Here is a 16,331-nt window from a genome sequence, read left to right on the forward strand (position 1 = left end):
AATTATTCATAAAGAGAAAAACAGGCTGTCTGGCAGCTCGGTGAACCCCCTCCCACTGACAGAAAGACAGTGCAGAGCTAGGAGCACACACATCCCACCACTGATGGGGGACAGTCATTTTTCAGGGCACATGGAGGGAGAAACAGTGGGTTAGTCAGGACAACCTAACTGCTGTAAATAACAACACCAACATCTCAGTGCTTTAACACAAGTTTTTGTCTCACTCACTTCACAAGTTAATGCACAGTTGGGTGGAGGCTCTGTTCCACACAGTCACTTAGGGGCCCAGGCCCCTTCCATGTTATGGTTCTGTCATCTCATGGCGCTTTGCCTTTCAGGCCTAGAAGTAACCATACCTCACATTCTATTTGCCAGAACTGAGTCAAATGGTTTCACCTAACTGCGAAGGAGGCTGGGAAATGTAGTCTAGCTGGGTGCTAGGAAGAGGAAAATGGCTTGATGATCGTATAGCAGTCTCTGCTACACTCAGCCCTGGTGGCTCCAGCTTCTATTTACACAGTTGTTTTAGGACATATCCCAGCCTGGCTTCTCACAATAAAATGGCACAGGGACCTATCACCTATAAGCCATCTAAAAATTCAGGTCTTAAACGTAAACTGCCCAATTCTCCTTGCTTGGCACCCTGCAAGTAAATGCCTTCCTTTCTCCCACTACAAACCTTGGTGTGGATATCTGGTCCTACTGTGCCAGGCAAGGGCACCCCACATTGGTTTGGGAGTCACTCTACTCCCAACAGCCTCTCCCCCAACCTCCCTGCACCAAGCCATTTTCCCCAAGGCACCCTCAAGCTGTCAGTTTAGGAGGGGTTTCCAACTCTGACCATCCTCTAAGCCTAGACCCACCCTCTGTCCCCATCTCACTGTCTTGGTAGTGTAGCAAAAAGGAAATCCTTCCCCAATCCCCACGTCCAAATGAAATGCCCACCCTATTTGTATGCCCCGAAGACTACTTTCTCCAGGAGGAATGTTCACCTTTTGCTACACAGGGCTGGGGAATGCAAATTCCACTCAGAAGCAACAGGAAACTTGGAAAAAGTTCTGAGTAGGGCACTGATGTGACGAAATCCATGCCTCAGGAATTGGTGATGGGGCAGCAGTGAAGGGGTGAACCTGGTTTGGAGGTGATAACAGGGTCCTGCTGTGGTACTTGATGCGAAAGGATCACTTAGGCAAGTCTGGGGCATAGGAAGAAGACGAAGAAACACTCAGCTCTCCTCAAGATGTGTCCTTGTAGCTCCCAGCATCCGGAAATTAGGTCAGCTGAAGGGATGGACTTCCAGACACTGCCCAGTCTCTGACACAGGGCAGAGGAGCTAAGACAGGTGGGAGAAGCGCTTGGCAGAGGAGGGAGCCCTGGGTGAGCCCCCATTTTCTGAGAGGGAGCGGCTGGGCCATGGAACCAGAAGCAGTCCAGGGGAGGGGAAGCTGCATGCCAAGGCTATCTTGAGGGCAGGAATGTGGCCAGGGTGGGCAGGGCCAGGTTCATGAGTAGGTACCTGTGAAGTCATACCCAAGCTCCAGCAGGCCCTGAGCTTGGTTTAATGCTCTGCTGTGGCTGTTTTGAAATTCTTAGCAATTTTATCTTTGAACTGTGTTCTGTAAGTAAAGATAATAGGGGCAATGGAGCATGCTGTGAACAGAGTAGATAACATGCAAAATGCACATCCCTGTTCCCCGTTCTCAGTGGTTTCCATGCCCATGAGCACGGAATTCCAGTGGACCCACAATGAGTGGGAGTCCAATGACTGTCAAAGCAATCAGAAGGCAAGCGTGTTACTTCTGCGGCTAAGTGGGATGCTGAAAGCCCCAAGAGGCCACACTCCCTCTGCAAACCAGAACTTGCTTCAAACAGAAAGGAGGTGTTCTGAGAAACGTGAACTACCAAGCAACCCTAGCATATCCTTTCCTATCCATGATACTTCCCCGCATTAGCCAACCACTTAGCCAAAAACCACGATGGGAGCAAAGGAACAGATAGCACAACCGTCGTTCCTTTTCCTTTCAGACCTTCCGTACTCATCTATAAGCTGGAGGTAGACAGTGTTAGGAGAGTGTGAATATATCTAGAAGTGGAATAAAAGCAGGGAGTGAGTGTTGTGCAGTATTTCTACGTTCTGATGAGGACAAAATGCATATGTCTATGTGAGCTATGAAATACGTGTATTGGTGGCGGGCGCCTGTAATCCCAGCTACTCGGGAGGCCGAGGCGGGAGAATTGCTTGAACACGGGAGTCGGAGGTTGCATTGAGCAGAGATCTTGCCATTGAACTCCAGCCTGGGCAACAAGAGCGAAACTCCATCTCAAAAAAAAAAAAAAAAGAAATATGCGTATAACTTAGGTGATTCTGCACATGAGTTAAATGCTCTAATGTTTGCATTTAAAACTGACTTTGTAAAATACAGAGTAAAACTTGTACTAATAATTTGAAATTATGTGTTTTTTATTTTTACTTAGAGTGACATTACATAGCAAACTGAAACCATTATAAGTCAAGAGAGAGACCACTGAGGAAAGGAGAAAACTTTTTATTTTAATATTTTTTTGGTGGCACTTTTCTCCTGCTTTTTGAACAGGGGACTCATTTTCATTTTGGAACTGGGCCCTGCAAATTATGTTGCCAGCCCCAAGGCATTTTTTTTTTAAATGGAATCTCGCTCTATTACCCAGGCTGGAGTGCAGTGGCACAATTTCGGCTCACTGCAACCTCTGTCTCCCAGGTTCAAGTGATTCTCCTGCCTCAGCCTCCTGAGTAGCTGGGATTACAGGTGCCCACCATCATGCTCAGCTAATTTTTGTATTTTTAGTAGAGATGGGGTATCACCATGTTGGCCAGTCTGGTCTCGAACTGCTAACCTCAAGTGATAAGCCCCCTCAGCCTCCCAAAGTGCTGGGATTACATGGGTAAGCCACCGCGCCCAGGCTGGGAAAGCGTTTCGACTTGCTTTCTTCTTGACTGGGGATTTGAACTCTTCTGTAATCTGGCTCTATCTCTGATTCTGGTAGCAAATTGTCCCATGGTTTAGAGCTAGGCTTGAGCCAGGCTGCCTTGATTCAAGTCCCAGCTCAGCTTTTGCTGGCTGTGTGATCTCAGGCAAGTTACTTGACCTCTCTGGCCTCTATTTTGCCATCTCTTGAATGGGGATTTCGGTAACAGTACCTACTTCCAAGGGTTGTTGAGAAGGCTGGATGAGTGAATACCTGCAAAGTGTTTGCACAGCCCTTGAGATCTCCAAATGGAACTCAGCTGTGTGAGCTATTATCACAGCATTTTCCACAATTCCACTGCCCAGTGGAGGAAGCCCCCAGGTGCCATCTCCTCTTGTATCTTGGTGCCACCAGGAAATTGGGCCAAACTCAGGCTGAGGAAGGGGCTGTGGGAAATGTGGCCCTGGGCTTCATGTCTGCAGGGGTCCATGCTGCCTCCAGGGCTCTGTGCAAGGCTGTGAAGGCGATAGTGGGTCTGGGGTGACACTGGGGGACATTGAGGGTCTCTTGGCCTCCATGTCTGAATTCATTTGCCAGGGCTGCCATGACAAAGGACCGCAGACTGTGGCTTACACAACAGGAATTTATCTCCTCAGAGTTCTGGAGGCTGGAAGTCCAAGTCAAGTTGCCAGCAGGGTTGGTTTTTCCTAAGGCCTCACTCGGCGTGGAGATGGCTGTCTTCTCCCTGTGTCTTCACGTTCTTCCCTCTGTGTGTGTCTGCGTCCAGATCTCCTCTTCTCCTAGGGACACCAGTCCTACTGGATTAGGGACCTCACCCCAGTGACCTCATTTCAACCTTCATTACCTCTTTAAAGGCCCTCCCTCCAAACACAGCACATTCTGAGGTAGTGGGTGGGGGTTAGGACTTCAACACATGAATTTTGAGAAAGACACAGTTTGGCCCACAACAATGTCTGTGAATGCTTGGCCATTCCTGGGCCCCTGTGACTGTGTGATTGCACATCTGTGCTTCTGTGTCAGAGTCTGTGTGTCTGTCTGTCTGTCTGTCTGAGCGTCTGACCATAAAGAACTCTGTCCTTGTGAATTTTTGGAGCTGGGACTCCTGGGTCTCGGCTGCCTTTGCTTATGAGACCTCGACAGGGTTCTGTGTGGACTTGACCATGTCTGTAAGTTGGCCTGCAATCCAGGATGTTATAGGTCAGGGAGACTGGGACCTGTGCGAACAGGATCTGTCCCTGTCTGGGCCCCTGTGAATGTGGGTCCTATCATGCATCTCTCTATGGTCTGAAATCCAGCCATCTCTGAGCATGTGGCTGTAAGGCAGAATTTGAAAGGAGAGGGGAAGGATCATATTAATTTGAGATTTGAAAGGAGACAGAGTGTTTACAAAAGCAGAGGAACAGCGGGTTAAACATCTGTTGACGATGACGGTGAGGACAGCAGCTGAGGCTGGGCCGGCTCCAGTGTGAGCTCTGTGGCATGTTGACATCTTTAAAACTGTCACAAAACCAGATACAGAAGCAAAACAGTGGGACTGAGGGAATCTGCTGATGGGGGCCGGGGCGGGCAGTGCAGGAAGCAGAAGGGTCTGGGAGGGGGACTTCATGAAGAGGCCTCTTTGTCTCGGGACCAGGGAAGCGCACAGCTGACCCCTCCAACACTGACCTCTTTCTCTCTCTCCACCCATTTTCTCTGCAGCTGAAACAAATCTGTGCGCCCCAAGGCCTGGGGCTGTCGGGTGGGCATGGCCCTCCCTGCCAAGACGCCACCCAGACTGTGCTTGGGGCTCTACAGGAAGCTTCTGTGTTCCTCCCTACAAGCCTGCAAGGGGCAGACGGCAATTATTATTCCCATTTAAGAGTTGAGGAGGCTAGGCACAGTAGCTCACACCTGTAATCCCAGCACTTTGGGAGGCCCAGGTGGGAGGATCATTTGAGCCCAGGTGTTCAAGACCAGCCTGGGCAACATGGCAAAACCCCATCTCTACAAAAACACAAAAATTAGCTGGGCTTGGTGGTGCATACCTATAGTCTCAACTACTTGGGAGGCTGAGGCAGGAGGATTCCTTGAGCCCAGGATGTTGAGGCTGCAGTGAACTATGATTGCACCATTGCACTCCAGCCTGGGAGACAGAGAGAGACCCTGTCTCAAAAAAAACAAGGGAAACTAAGACCCAAAGAGACTAGATGACTTGGTCAGGCTGTAGCACCTAGGATTTCAGTGAGGTCTAATTGCTCTAGTCGCCCAGGCTGGAGTGCAATGGCGTGATCTCAGCTCACCGCAACCTCTGCCTCCCGGGTTCAAGCGATTCTCCTGCCTCAGCCTCCCCAGTAGCTGGGATTTCAGGCGCCAGCCACTACGCCCAGCTAATTTTTGTACTTTTTAGTAGAGACGGGGTTTCACCACGTTGGCCAGGCTGGTCTCGAACTCCTGACCTCAGGTGATCCACCCGCCTCGGCCTCCCAAAGTGCTGGGATTACAGGCATAAGCCACCATGCCTGGACTGTAATTTTTGCCTATTAACTCACACTAAGCAGGGCCTGTCTTCCCTGGGTCTCCTGTGAGCGCTGGGTTGTGTCTATAGAGCTGTTCCAAGCTTGCCTCCATGGGGATCCAAGATTTTCCTCTGGTCCCAGGTGAGATTGCTTACTAATTTTGCAGGGTAAATGCCAGTGGCTCCAGACTTTATACTGGGGCATGCTCTAGCCCTGGACTCCCATTATTTTTTCCATTCCTGGCCCAAGAGATTGGCAAGACTATTTCCCTCCTTTGCAGACCAGCAGGCAAAACTTTTCCCTACAAGTTTTGATAGGTAGAGCTGCTGTGCTTGTTTATTTGTAAGCATGGTACTTTCTAATTTCCATGATATCAAGGCTTTGGGCCCCATCTATGAGTTTTGACAAGGAGCATTTTCCAACCCAAGCATCCCAAAGGCCCTTGAACTTTTGGCTTTGACCCGTCATTGATTCACAAATCTTTTGTTTAATTTCCAAAGTTTCCTTTTTCTTCTGATCTTTTGTCAGTTCTAACAGATTTTTAGAGTGGATACTAACTAGAAAGGATAGAGCTAGAGAGGTGTCTAGAGTTGTTATTTTAGTTGAATGTTTAACTAAATTGACAATGCCTGATTATCAGTATGCAGGCCAGTTATGGAGTGGCCAGGTCAAATCCCTGCTCCAGGACTGACTTAGCTGTGCCACTTGGATGCCCCACTCCACTAATGGTCTCAGGCCACTGGCTGCTCATTGGGAGGACAGTGGGAGCCGTGGGCAGAGTTGTTCTGTCCCTCTTCCTCTGTGGCTCCTGGCTGTATGCACATAGCACTGTTCCAGCCCATTGCATTCACAGGGCCCAAGGCTCCCAGCACCCTCCCTCTCCCCAGCAAGCCCCTCAACCTCACATTCTGCTCACTGTCCCAGCTCTGAATTTCCTCTTTCTCTGGTCCCTGGGGCTTCCTTTTTCTTGGCTAGGAACTCAACCATGCATTTATATTTTTTGTTTATATTTTATCGAGTATTGTAATGTATATAGAGCAGGAGGGGGGATTTCCCATATTGGCAGTTATGGCCTGAATGTATCCTCCCCAAATTCACATGTTGAAACCTGATCACCAAGGCGATGATATTAGAACGTGGGGCCTTTGGGAGGTAATTAGGTCACGAGGGCTCCATCCTGTGACTGGGGTTAATGCCCTTATAAAAGAGGCACCAAGGAGCTGCCGTTCCCTTCTGCCATGTAAGCACACAGCAAAGAGCCACCTATGAAGCAGAGACCCCTCACCGGAAACTGAATCTGCTGGCACCTTGATCTTGGACTTCCTGGTCCAAGATCCTGGTCCTAGAACTGTAAGAAATAAATGTCTTTTGTTGTAAATTACGCTGTCTAAGGGATCTTGTTACAGCAGCCTGAATGAACTGAGACATTGGCTCAGTGCACTGCATTAGTTAGAATCCCCAACACAATTAGCTACATGACTTTGAGCAAGATACATAATTTCTCTGAACCTCAGTTTCTTCGTGTATAAAATAAGTAGGTCCTACAATAAGAGTATCTATATAATAGGTTTTGTGGGTTTTCTTAGGCAGAGTCTTGCTCTGTCACCCAGGCTGGATGGAGTATAGTGGCGTGATCTGGGTTCACATGGCTCACTGCAACCTCCGCCTCCCGGACTCAAGCGATTCTCCCACCTCAGCCTTCTGAGTATCTGGGACCACAGCGCCCGCCACTGCCCCTGGCTAAATTTTTTGTATTTTTAGTAGAGACGGAGTTTCACCATGTTGGCCAGGCTGGTCTCGAGCTCCTGACCTCAAGTTATCCACCCACCTTGGCCTCCCAAAGTGCTGGTATTACAGGCATAAGCCACTGCACCTGGCCCCAAAATAGGTTGTTATAAGGCTTGTGTAGACAGGTGTGCCAAGAGTTTAACATACATGGTGTCTGGAACAGGGTAGGTGCCCAATAAGTGATAGGTGCTATTGTCATTCCTGCTCCTGTTTTACATATAAAGGTCTGGGGCTTAGAGAGATTGAGTAGCTTGCCTAAAGTCACACAGCTGGACAGCAGTATAATCCCCAGATGTTTGAGTTTTCCCAGACCAGGAGCCAGACATGGGAGTGAATAGGTCTTCAGAATGACCTGGGCCGCAATCACTGTCTGAATACAACTTCATGAGAAACCCCAACTGGGAACTGCCTAGTAGAACCCAGCCAACTCCCAGATTTGTGAGCAAAGCAAACAATTCCTGTTATTGTAAGCCACTGTTTTAAGAAGGCTGGTCACACAAAACTAGATAACAGGAACCGTGTCCTAATGCTTACAGGGTACAGTTAACTCCTCAGCAGATGCAGGGAAACACAGAGCTGCATCATTTGTTCATTCATCCTGTATTAGGCCATTCTTTCATTGCAATAAAGAAAAACCTGAAGGCTGGGTATGGTGGCTCATGCCTGTAATCCCAGCACTTTGGGAGGCCAAGGCGGGCGGATCACCTGAGGTCAGGAGTTCAAGACCAGCCTGGCCAACATGGTGAAACTCTGTCTCTACAAAAATTAGCCGGGCATGATGGCTGGTGCCTGTAATCCCAGCTACTCGGGAGGCTGAGGCAGGAGAATCGCTTGAACCTGGGAGGCAGAGGTTGCAGTGAGCTGAGATCGCGCCATTGCACTCCAGCCTGGGTGACACAGCGAGACTCCATCTCAAAAAAAAAAAAAAAGAAAGAAAGAAAAAAAAAAGAAACAGAAAAACCTGAGACTGGGTAATTTATAAAGAAAATAGGTTGAATTGGCTCACAGTTCCACAGGCTATACAGAAAGCGTGATGCTGGTATCTGCTTGGCTTCTGGGGAGGCCTCAGGAAATTTACCATCATGGCAGAAGGCAAAAGGGAAGCAGGCATGTCACATGGCCAGAGCAGGAAGAGAGAGAGGGGAGAGGTGCTACACACTTTTAAATGACCAGATCTCATGAGAACTCACTATCATGAGGACAGTACCACAAGGGGATGATACTAAACCATTCATGAGAAATCCATCCCCATGATCCAGTCAGCTCTCACCAGACCCCCACTCCAATGCTGGGGGTTACAATTTGATATGAGATTTGTTGGAGACAGAGATCCAAACCACATCACATCCACTCACTCAACAAACATTTATGAGCTCTTGTGTGCCCTGGGCTCTTTGCTAAGCACTGGGGATTCAAGGGCAAATAAGACAGAAACATTGGAAAGATGGGAAATAAACAAAAACACCAGGTAGTGAGGCATTGAGATTAAAATAAAACTTGGTGAGATAGAATGACAAATGGGGCTTTTCAACTTTTAGATGATCAGGGAAGTTTGCTCTGAGGAGGTGGCATTTAGGTTGAGGTGAATGTTAAGAGGAAATATTATCTGGAAGCAGACTATTCCAGGCAGAATGCAGATGCCACTGGGGGAGTGAGCTTGGTGTGTCTGAGCCTCCTTCAAGGGCCAGTGTGGCTGGAACAGGGTGGATGTGGGAGCCGAGGACAGGAGGGGGTACCTGAGAGGTAGGCAGGGGCCACAACACAGAGTGCTTTGTAGACCACTCAAAAGATTCTAGATTTTCTTCTAAATGCAATGGGAAGGCACCAGTGGGCATTTTTAGTGAGTGGTGTATCAGTCAGAATGGGATAGGCATGGTACAGTAACAAATAAACCCTAGAATCTCTGTGGTTTGCTCTGATAGACATTTATTTCTCTGCTACATCACAGTCTACCAGGTTTCTGGAAGGTTTCTTCTGAATGGTAAGCCAGGAGCCCAGGCTGCCTCCATCCTATGGTTCCATCACCTTGTAGCTTCAAGGTCACTCTGAGGTTATCTACCTGAGGGCAGGTAGAAAGGGAAGAGAGAACGGGGAAGCCCACGAGGTACTTAACTACTGTAGCCTGGGATTAATACACAGCACTTCTGCTCACATCTCCATTGGCCAGAACCAGTCACATGGCCAACCTAACTGCAAGGGAGGTTGGGAAACATGAAGGAGCACACCAATATGCTCAAGGGCCCCAGAAGCCTCTACCACAGATGGCAAGGTACTCTGATTATATTTTAATTGGCATTCTGGTTTCTGTGTGAGAAATTTAAATCATCAGTAGTGGGAGTTTCAGCCACATCAGGCTCTGAAATGACATCTTAACTCCTTCCCCTTTGGGTTTGTCATTTGTGGCCTTATTTGCCGGGTAAATTTTACCTCCTGGAACAAAAAAGCATATGCTGAAAGTTGGTCCTAAAGGGACATTTAGGTCAAAGCTGTAGTAAAGAGTTCAAAGACAAATGTTTAATCAGGAGGCCCTGATTCTCAGACCTTGGGATTTCAGGGACTGGAAAATTCCAAAAACAATTTGGCAAACCAACAAAGAGTTGCCTACAGAGAAGCCAACAAAGAGTTAGTCTGTCTCATAAGTATCTATGCTGTCACCATAATTTCATAAAATAAAGTCCATCTTAAAATTTATCAGTTGGAAGGAAATAATAACACAATGAAGAACATTCCAGCCGGGCACAGTGGCCAATGCCTGTAATCCCAGCACTTTGGGAAGTGGAGGTGCAGGATCACTTGAGCCCAGGAGTTCAAGACCAACCTGGGCAACATAGCAAGACCCCATCCATTAAAAAAAAAAAGAAAAAAGAAAAGGAAAGAAAATAACACACTTTTCATTGAAGAGACATTTGACAAATTTGCACATATCACACACACATGCACATGTACCACACACTCGCCAGATATTCACAGGTACTATACATTAGTTGGCCTTCTGGAATTGCCCATGAGAATCTTTTATCATCATTAAATAAGTGAATCTGTGCGATGACCCACTGTGGAAATATATGGAGTTGCCTGTGTGAGAAGCTGCTTGATGATAAATTACCATCTTTCATTCAAAGAATCACCCTAAAAACTTTCAATTTGGGAGTTATACTTAAAATCAGTTTGTCAGCCAGGCACAGTGGCATGCACCTGTAGTTCCAGCTACTCGGGAGGCTGAGACAGGAGGATCACTTGAGGTCAGGAGTTCCAGGATGCAGTGTGTGATGATTGTGTCTGTGAATAGCCACTGCACTCCAGCCTGGGCAACATAGCAAGATCCTGTCTCTAAAGTAAAAAATAAATGAAATAAAATCATTTTGGCTTCTTTTACTGGGGCATCTTAATATTCACCTCGTGTCCCTCTCAACTGGTAGCCATATAGGCCTCTTGTGTTAATAACTGCTTACCTATTTGTGGTGTCTTTCCTCTTGGTGCCCTCAAAGTGAATTTTGTGCATACCATGTAGCTTCAGTTTTAAGCCAGAGTATTCCAAACATCCACTTACATTCAACATGTCCGGTCATTTTCATGCGTTGTGGTAACACACAGACAGAAATGCAATTCTGTTTCTATCATGCCACATTGTCCCTATTTCTCATTTCCCTACTTGCATGTCCATCTCATTGACAAGCGCTGGTCTGTGAACTCGTGCTTGGAGGCTATAGGGCTGGGCGTGCAACAGGAGCCAAAAGCCAAAGCCAAACACGGTGGTCTAGGAACTGTGATTCTGAGAGTCAAGGGTGGCCACATGGGCAATGGGCAGAAGCCTGGGTGAAGACAAGAAGAGTAGGCACAGGGCTTAGTGCTTAGTGAGAGGCTATGGAGGACCTTGAAGGGTAAGCTAGGAGACCTAGGGATCTGTCAGGACCTGTAGGAGCCGGCCAGACTCCATTCACTTCTGGAGCCTTCCTTCACCAGGTCCCCTTGAGTCCCCATCCCTGCAGTCAGACTGTCTTCCCTGCCATCCCCACACAAGACCTCTTTCTTATATTTTTGTGACCTTTGCCCATGACCTTCCTGCCTGAAGCATCTCCTTCCTGGGCCCCTGCCCCACCACTTCCGCTTGGCCAATGTGTATGTATCCTTCACAAGGAACAGGCCTGTTCTTCCACACAGCTAAAAATAAGTTTGGCGCTCAGTAGAGGCACCTTCTTTACTGTCCTAAGCCTTGAAGCTGACAACTTGGAGGTGAGGCATAAGAGAAAAAGAGGAGGAGAAGATGGCGCCCAGGTTATTGGCTGAGCAACTGGAAAGATGGAGCTCCCGATGGATGGGGTGGGGAAGACCGAGGGAGGAGAAGGTTTGAAAGGGATGACCAGAGCTGAGGTCTAGATGTGGGATGCCCACAAGCTATTCAAATGGACATGTCAGGTAGGCTGTTGGATATACATGTTTGGGGTTCAGGGAAGAGGACCAGGCTAAAGGCATCAATTTGAGAATCACTAGCATAATTGGATTTAAAAGAACTTTTGGATGAGGTTATGTGGGATGTGGCTCCCACTAGCCCTCAGCCTGGGACACTAGATCCTTCCAACTGGGCGTCATCCACCAACCGAGCCTCATGCCTTCCCCTCCCACCTGTGCACCCTTCACACTGGCCCCAGCAAACCTCTCATCCTCCTGCACCCTGCACTTGGGGACAGGTTTCCTGGCTTGTCTGCCTATTGACTGCCCCTCGTTTCTCAAGGACTGGCTCATACCTTCTTTTTCTTTGTAGCTTCTTCCTGGAAGAGTGAATATTTCTATTCTTACTTTTCCCACAGCATTTTGACTGTATGTATTGATACCCTTGGCAAATGACCTCACACTATGTTATAATACCTGTGTTGTGGATAAATATTTTGAAAGAGTGTTTTCTCCTTGGCAATTCCTTCTAGCACCTTAACCTGGTTCTCATCCCTCTTTAAAAGTTACGCTTCAGCCAAGTGTGGTGGCTCACACCTGCAATCCCAGCATTTTGGGAGGCCAAGGTGGGCAGATCACCTGAGGTCAGGAGTTCAAGACCAGCATGGCCAACACGGTGGAACCCTGTCTCTACTAAAAACACAAAAAATTAGCTGGGCATGGTGGTGGGTGCCTGTAATCCCAGCTACTCAGGAGGCTGAGGCAAGAGAATCGCTTGAATCTGGGAGACAGAGGTTGCACTGAGCCGAGATCACACCATTGCACTCCAGCCTGGGCAACAAGAGTGAAACTCCATCTCAAAAAAAAAAAAAAAAAAAAAGAAAAAAAAAAAAAGTTAGGCTTCATATCTCAAGGAAGAAGTGATACAAAACAAAAACAAAAAATAAACAGCAAAACAAAAGGTTAATTTTGTAGCTTTGAGTTTTTACATTTCACTACTAAAAATCTATGGCATCAAGAGAATGAGAAGACAAGCCACAGACTGGTAGAAAATATTTGCAAAAGATATAACTGATAAAGGACTATTATTCAAAATATGTAAAGAGCTCTTAAAAGTCAACAATAAGAAAAAAATGATTTAAAAATGGGCCAAAGACCTTAACAGACACCTCACCAAAGAAGATGACAAAATAAGCACATGGAAATATGCTTCACATCATATGTCAGTAGAGAATTGCAAATTGAAACAACAATGAGATACCTCTATGCAGCTATTGGAATGGCCAAAATTCAGAACACCGACAATAACAAATGCTGACAAGGATGTAGAGCAACAGGAACTCTCATTCATTGCTAGTGGGAATGCAAAATGGTACAGCTACCTTGGAAGACAGTTTAGCAGTTTCTTGCAAAACTAGACCTACTCTTGGCGTACAGTCTAGCAGTCAGGCTCCTTGGTATTTACTCAAAGGAGCTGAAAACATGTCCACACAAAAACCTCCACGTGATGTTTACAGCAGCTTTGTTCATAATTGCCAAAACCTGGAAACAATCAAGAAGCCCTTCAGTCAGTGAATGAATAAACTGTGATACATCCAGTCAATGGAATATTGTTCAGCCCTAAAAAGAAATGAGCTATCAAGCCATGAAAAGACATGAAGGAAACTTAAATGCATATCACTAAGTGAAAGCAGGCAATCTGAAGAGGCTACATACGTATTGTTGCCAGCATTGAATCCATATCTGTACAGGTCTGCAGCAACCTCAATTCTTGCCTCTTCAGAAGAAAGAACTCAACTGAGGGGCATAAGGCAGAAGCAGAGACCGAGGCAAGTTTTAGAACAGGAGTGAAAGTTTATTAGAAAGCTTTAGAACAGGAATAAAAGGCAGTAAAGTACACTTGGAAAAGGACCAAGCAGGCGACTTCAGAGATCAAGTGTGCGGTTTGGCCTTTTGACTTGGGGTTTTATACGTGTGCGTATTTTCAGGGTCTTGCTTCTCTTATCCCCTGATTCTTCCGTTGGGTGGGCTGTCCACATGCACAGTGGCCTGCTAGCGCTTGGGAGGGGAGCATGCGCACTGTGTTTACTGGAGTTGTACTTATGCTCACTCGAGACATTCCTCCCTTACCAGTCTAGCATTCCTAGAGGAAGATCATTTACCAGTTAAACTCCACCATTTTGCCTCTTAATGCTTATGCTTGAGCCCACTCGCCCAACTCCTGAGATCTTATTTGGAAGCTGCTGATCACCAGTTTCAGGTGTTCTCTGACTGTTAGAAGACTACCTTTCCCTAGCAACGGATGTTACCAATTATTATTTTACAGAGACAGTCAACAACCACCTGACCATCACCTGATTGTCACCTGACATTCCTGCTGTATGTGTGTGGGTGGGTGGGGGGGAACACTCTCCTGCCCTGCTCATGCCTGACCAGCTACCCACTGTAACAGTATGATTCCAACTAGATGATATTCTGGAAAAGGCAAAAAGGTGAAGACAGTAAAAAGGTCAGTGGTTGCCAAGGGTCAGGAGGGAGAGAGGAATGAACAGGCAGAACACAGGATTTTTAGGGCAGTGAAACTATTCTGTGTGATACGCTAGTGGTGGACATAAATCATTATACATTTTTTCAAACCCATAGAATGTATACCACAAGAATGAGCCCTAACGTAAACTATGGACTTTGGGTGACGATGCTGTTTTAACATAGGTTCATCTGTTGTAACAAATGTACCACTCTGGTGGTGGATGTTGACAGTGGGGAGGCACAAGGGGGCAGTAGGGTGGCAAGGGTGGCAAACCTCTGTACTTTCTGCTCAACATTACTGCGAACCTCAAACTGCTCTAAAAAATAGAGTCTATTAACAAAAAATAGTTAAGACCAAAAAAAAAAAATGTCATGGCAGAGAAATAGTCTGAAAGACCATATGTTTTTTACTTTTTTTAAAAAAAGAAAGCTTCCTGGAATGGGTGTGAATGTGAGGAAGGCTTGGAAGATAAAGCCAGAGGGTTTGGATACTAATTGTGGGATGGGGTGAGCTTGGGATGGGGCGAGCTGGAGATGGCACAGCCATGCTCCTTGAGTTCCAGAACCAACTGAGGTGGGGTTAGGGGCTAGTAGAGGAGATAAGCAAACAGAATCATAACACAGCTTTGGGCCAATACATGGGTTGATTTTCCCAGGACCACCCATTTTCTTGGCAACCTGTTCTTTCTGCAGGAGCAGCTGTGTTCTTTAATGACCCTGTCCCTCTAAATGGCCTTGATCAGGCCAGAGTGGTCACCTGGTCATAGCTAGGCCCATTGGAATCTTTTCCCAGGATTTTTAAAGTGAATCTTAGACAGCCAATTTTTATTTAGTGGTAGAAGCAATAAGAGGATATAAAACTGTCAGCAGTCTGATTCTGCCATGTGGAAGAAGAAGGTCTGTAATGAGAGAATGAAGCTGAGATAAAGGAAGCTCTGGGTTTCTGGTGTCAGTTCTTCCTGAGTACACCTGCAGCCCTAACCTTCCTGAGGTTTGCCTGGCCCAGGGAAGTGGGCACATAGATGTGATGCGATCCTGCCCTCTGTCCCAGTTTATTGGGTCTGGGGTAGTTCTGACCTTTACTGGGCCTGTCAGATCATCTCTCTGAAAGTCTGGAATTGGAGCTTAGAGATGCCTTGTCACTGTCTGCAGGCCACTGGGACTGATGTGATATAGACTGTGGGCTGAGAACACCATCATGGCAGCAATTGTTAGACTGTGGACAGGGAGGAGAAGAAGAGAAAAGTCGTTGTTAGAAAGGGCAAAAAACAAAGGCAGACACAGGGAAAAGGGGAAACAGGAGGAAACATAGCCCTGGAAGAGGCCTGGAAATGTGCCTGCCGTACGAGACTGCTTCCGTGAGAGAATCCCAGTTTGTTCCATGAATTCTGTTTTATGCCTAACTGGGTTTGAGAGCATTTCTGTTACGGAAAACCAAATGATCACTGAACAACATCTGAATCTCCCTACAGCCTGTGAATATCTTGAGGGCACAACTGACTCTGCTCGTCTCTCTAAATCCAGAAGCTTGGCCTGGACTCCCAGTGAGAGAGTGAAGAAACAACCATTGTCCTGAGAATCAGGGCTCTATCCAACACAATGCGTTTCAGGACTCTGGAAATCCTGCTCCAGAGTTTTGTAGGCAGGTGCAGTGGCTCTCACCTGCAATCCCAGTGCTTTGGGAGGCTGACGGGGTAGGATTGCTTGAGGCCAGGAGCTCAAGACCAGCCTGGGTAACACGGCGAGATCTCTGCCTCTAAAAAAAAAAATCTAAAAATTAGCCAGGAGTTCAAGGCTGCAGTGAGCTAGGATTGCACCGCTGCACTCAGTCTGGGCAGCAGAGTGAGATCCTGTCTCAAAACAAAAACAAACAAAAAACAACAACGAAAACAAAACAAAACAAAAAAACACAAAAAAAGAGTTTTGTAGAGTGAAGTTCCAAGCATCGACTTTAGAGTCTAATACCTCTAACTCCTACTTTCCATGATATAACTTAGGAAAGCCACTTTATCTCTCTGAGCCCCAGTTTTTGTAGTTATAATATGGCAATCATACTCCCTGCTTTACAGGATCAGTGTTGGTTATTGAGTGAAATAGTTTAGGCAGAAGGACCTAGCCCAGTGCCTGACACAGAGGAAATACCCCGTGAATGGCAATGATCAT

The sequence above is a fragment of the Homo sapiens genome, chromosome 9 (assembly GCF_000001405.40).
Source record: "Homo sapiens chromosome 9, GRCh38.p14 Primary Assembly".
Classification (NCBI taxonomy): Eukaryota; Metazoa; Chordata; class Mammalia; order Primates; family Hominidae; genus Homo; species Homo sapiens.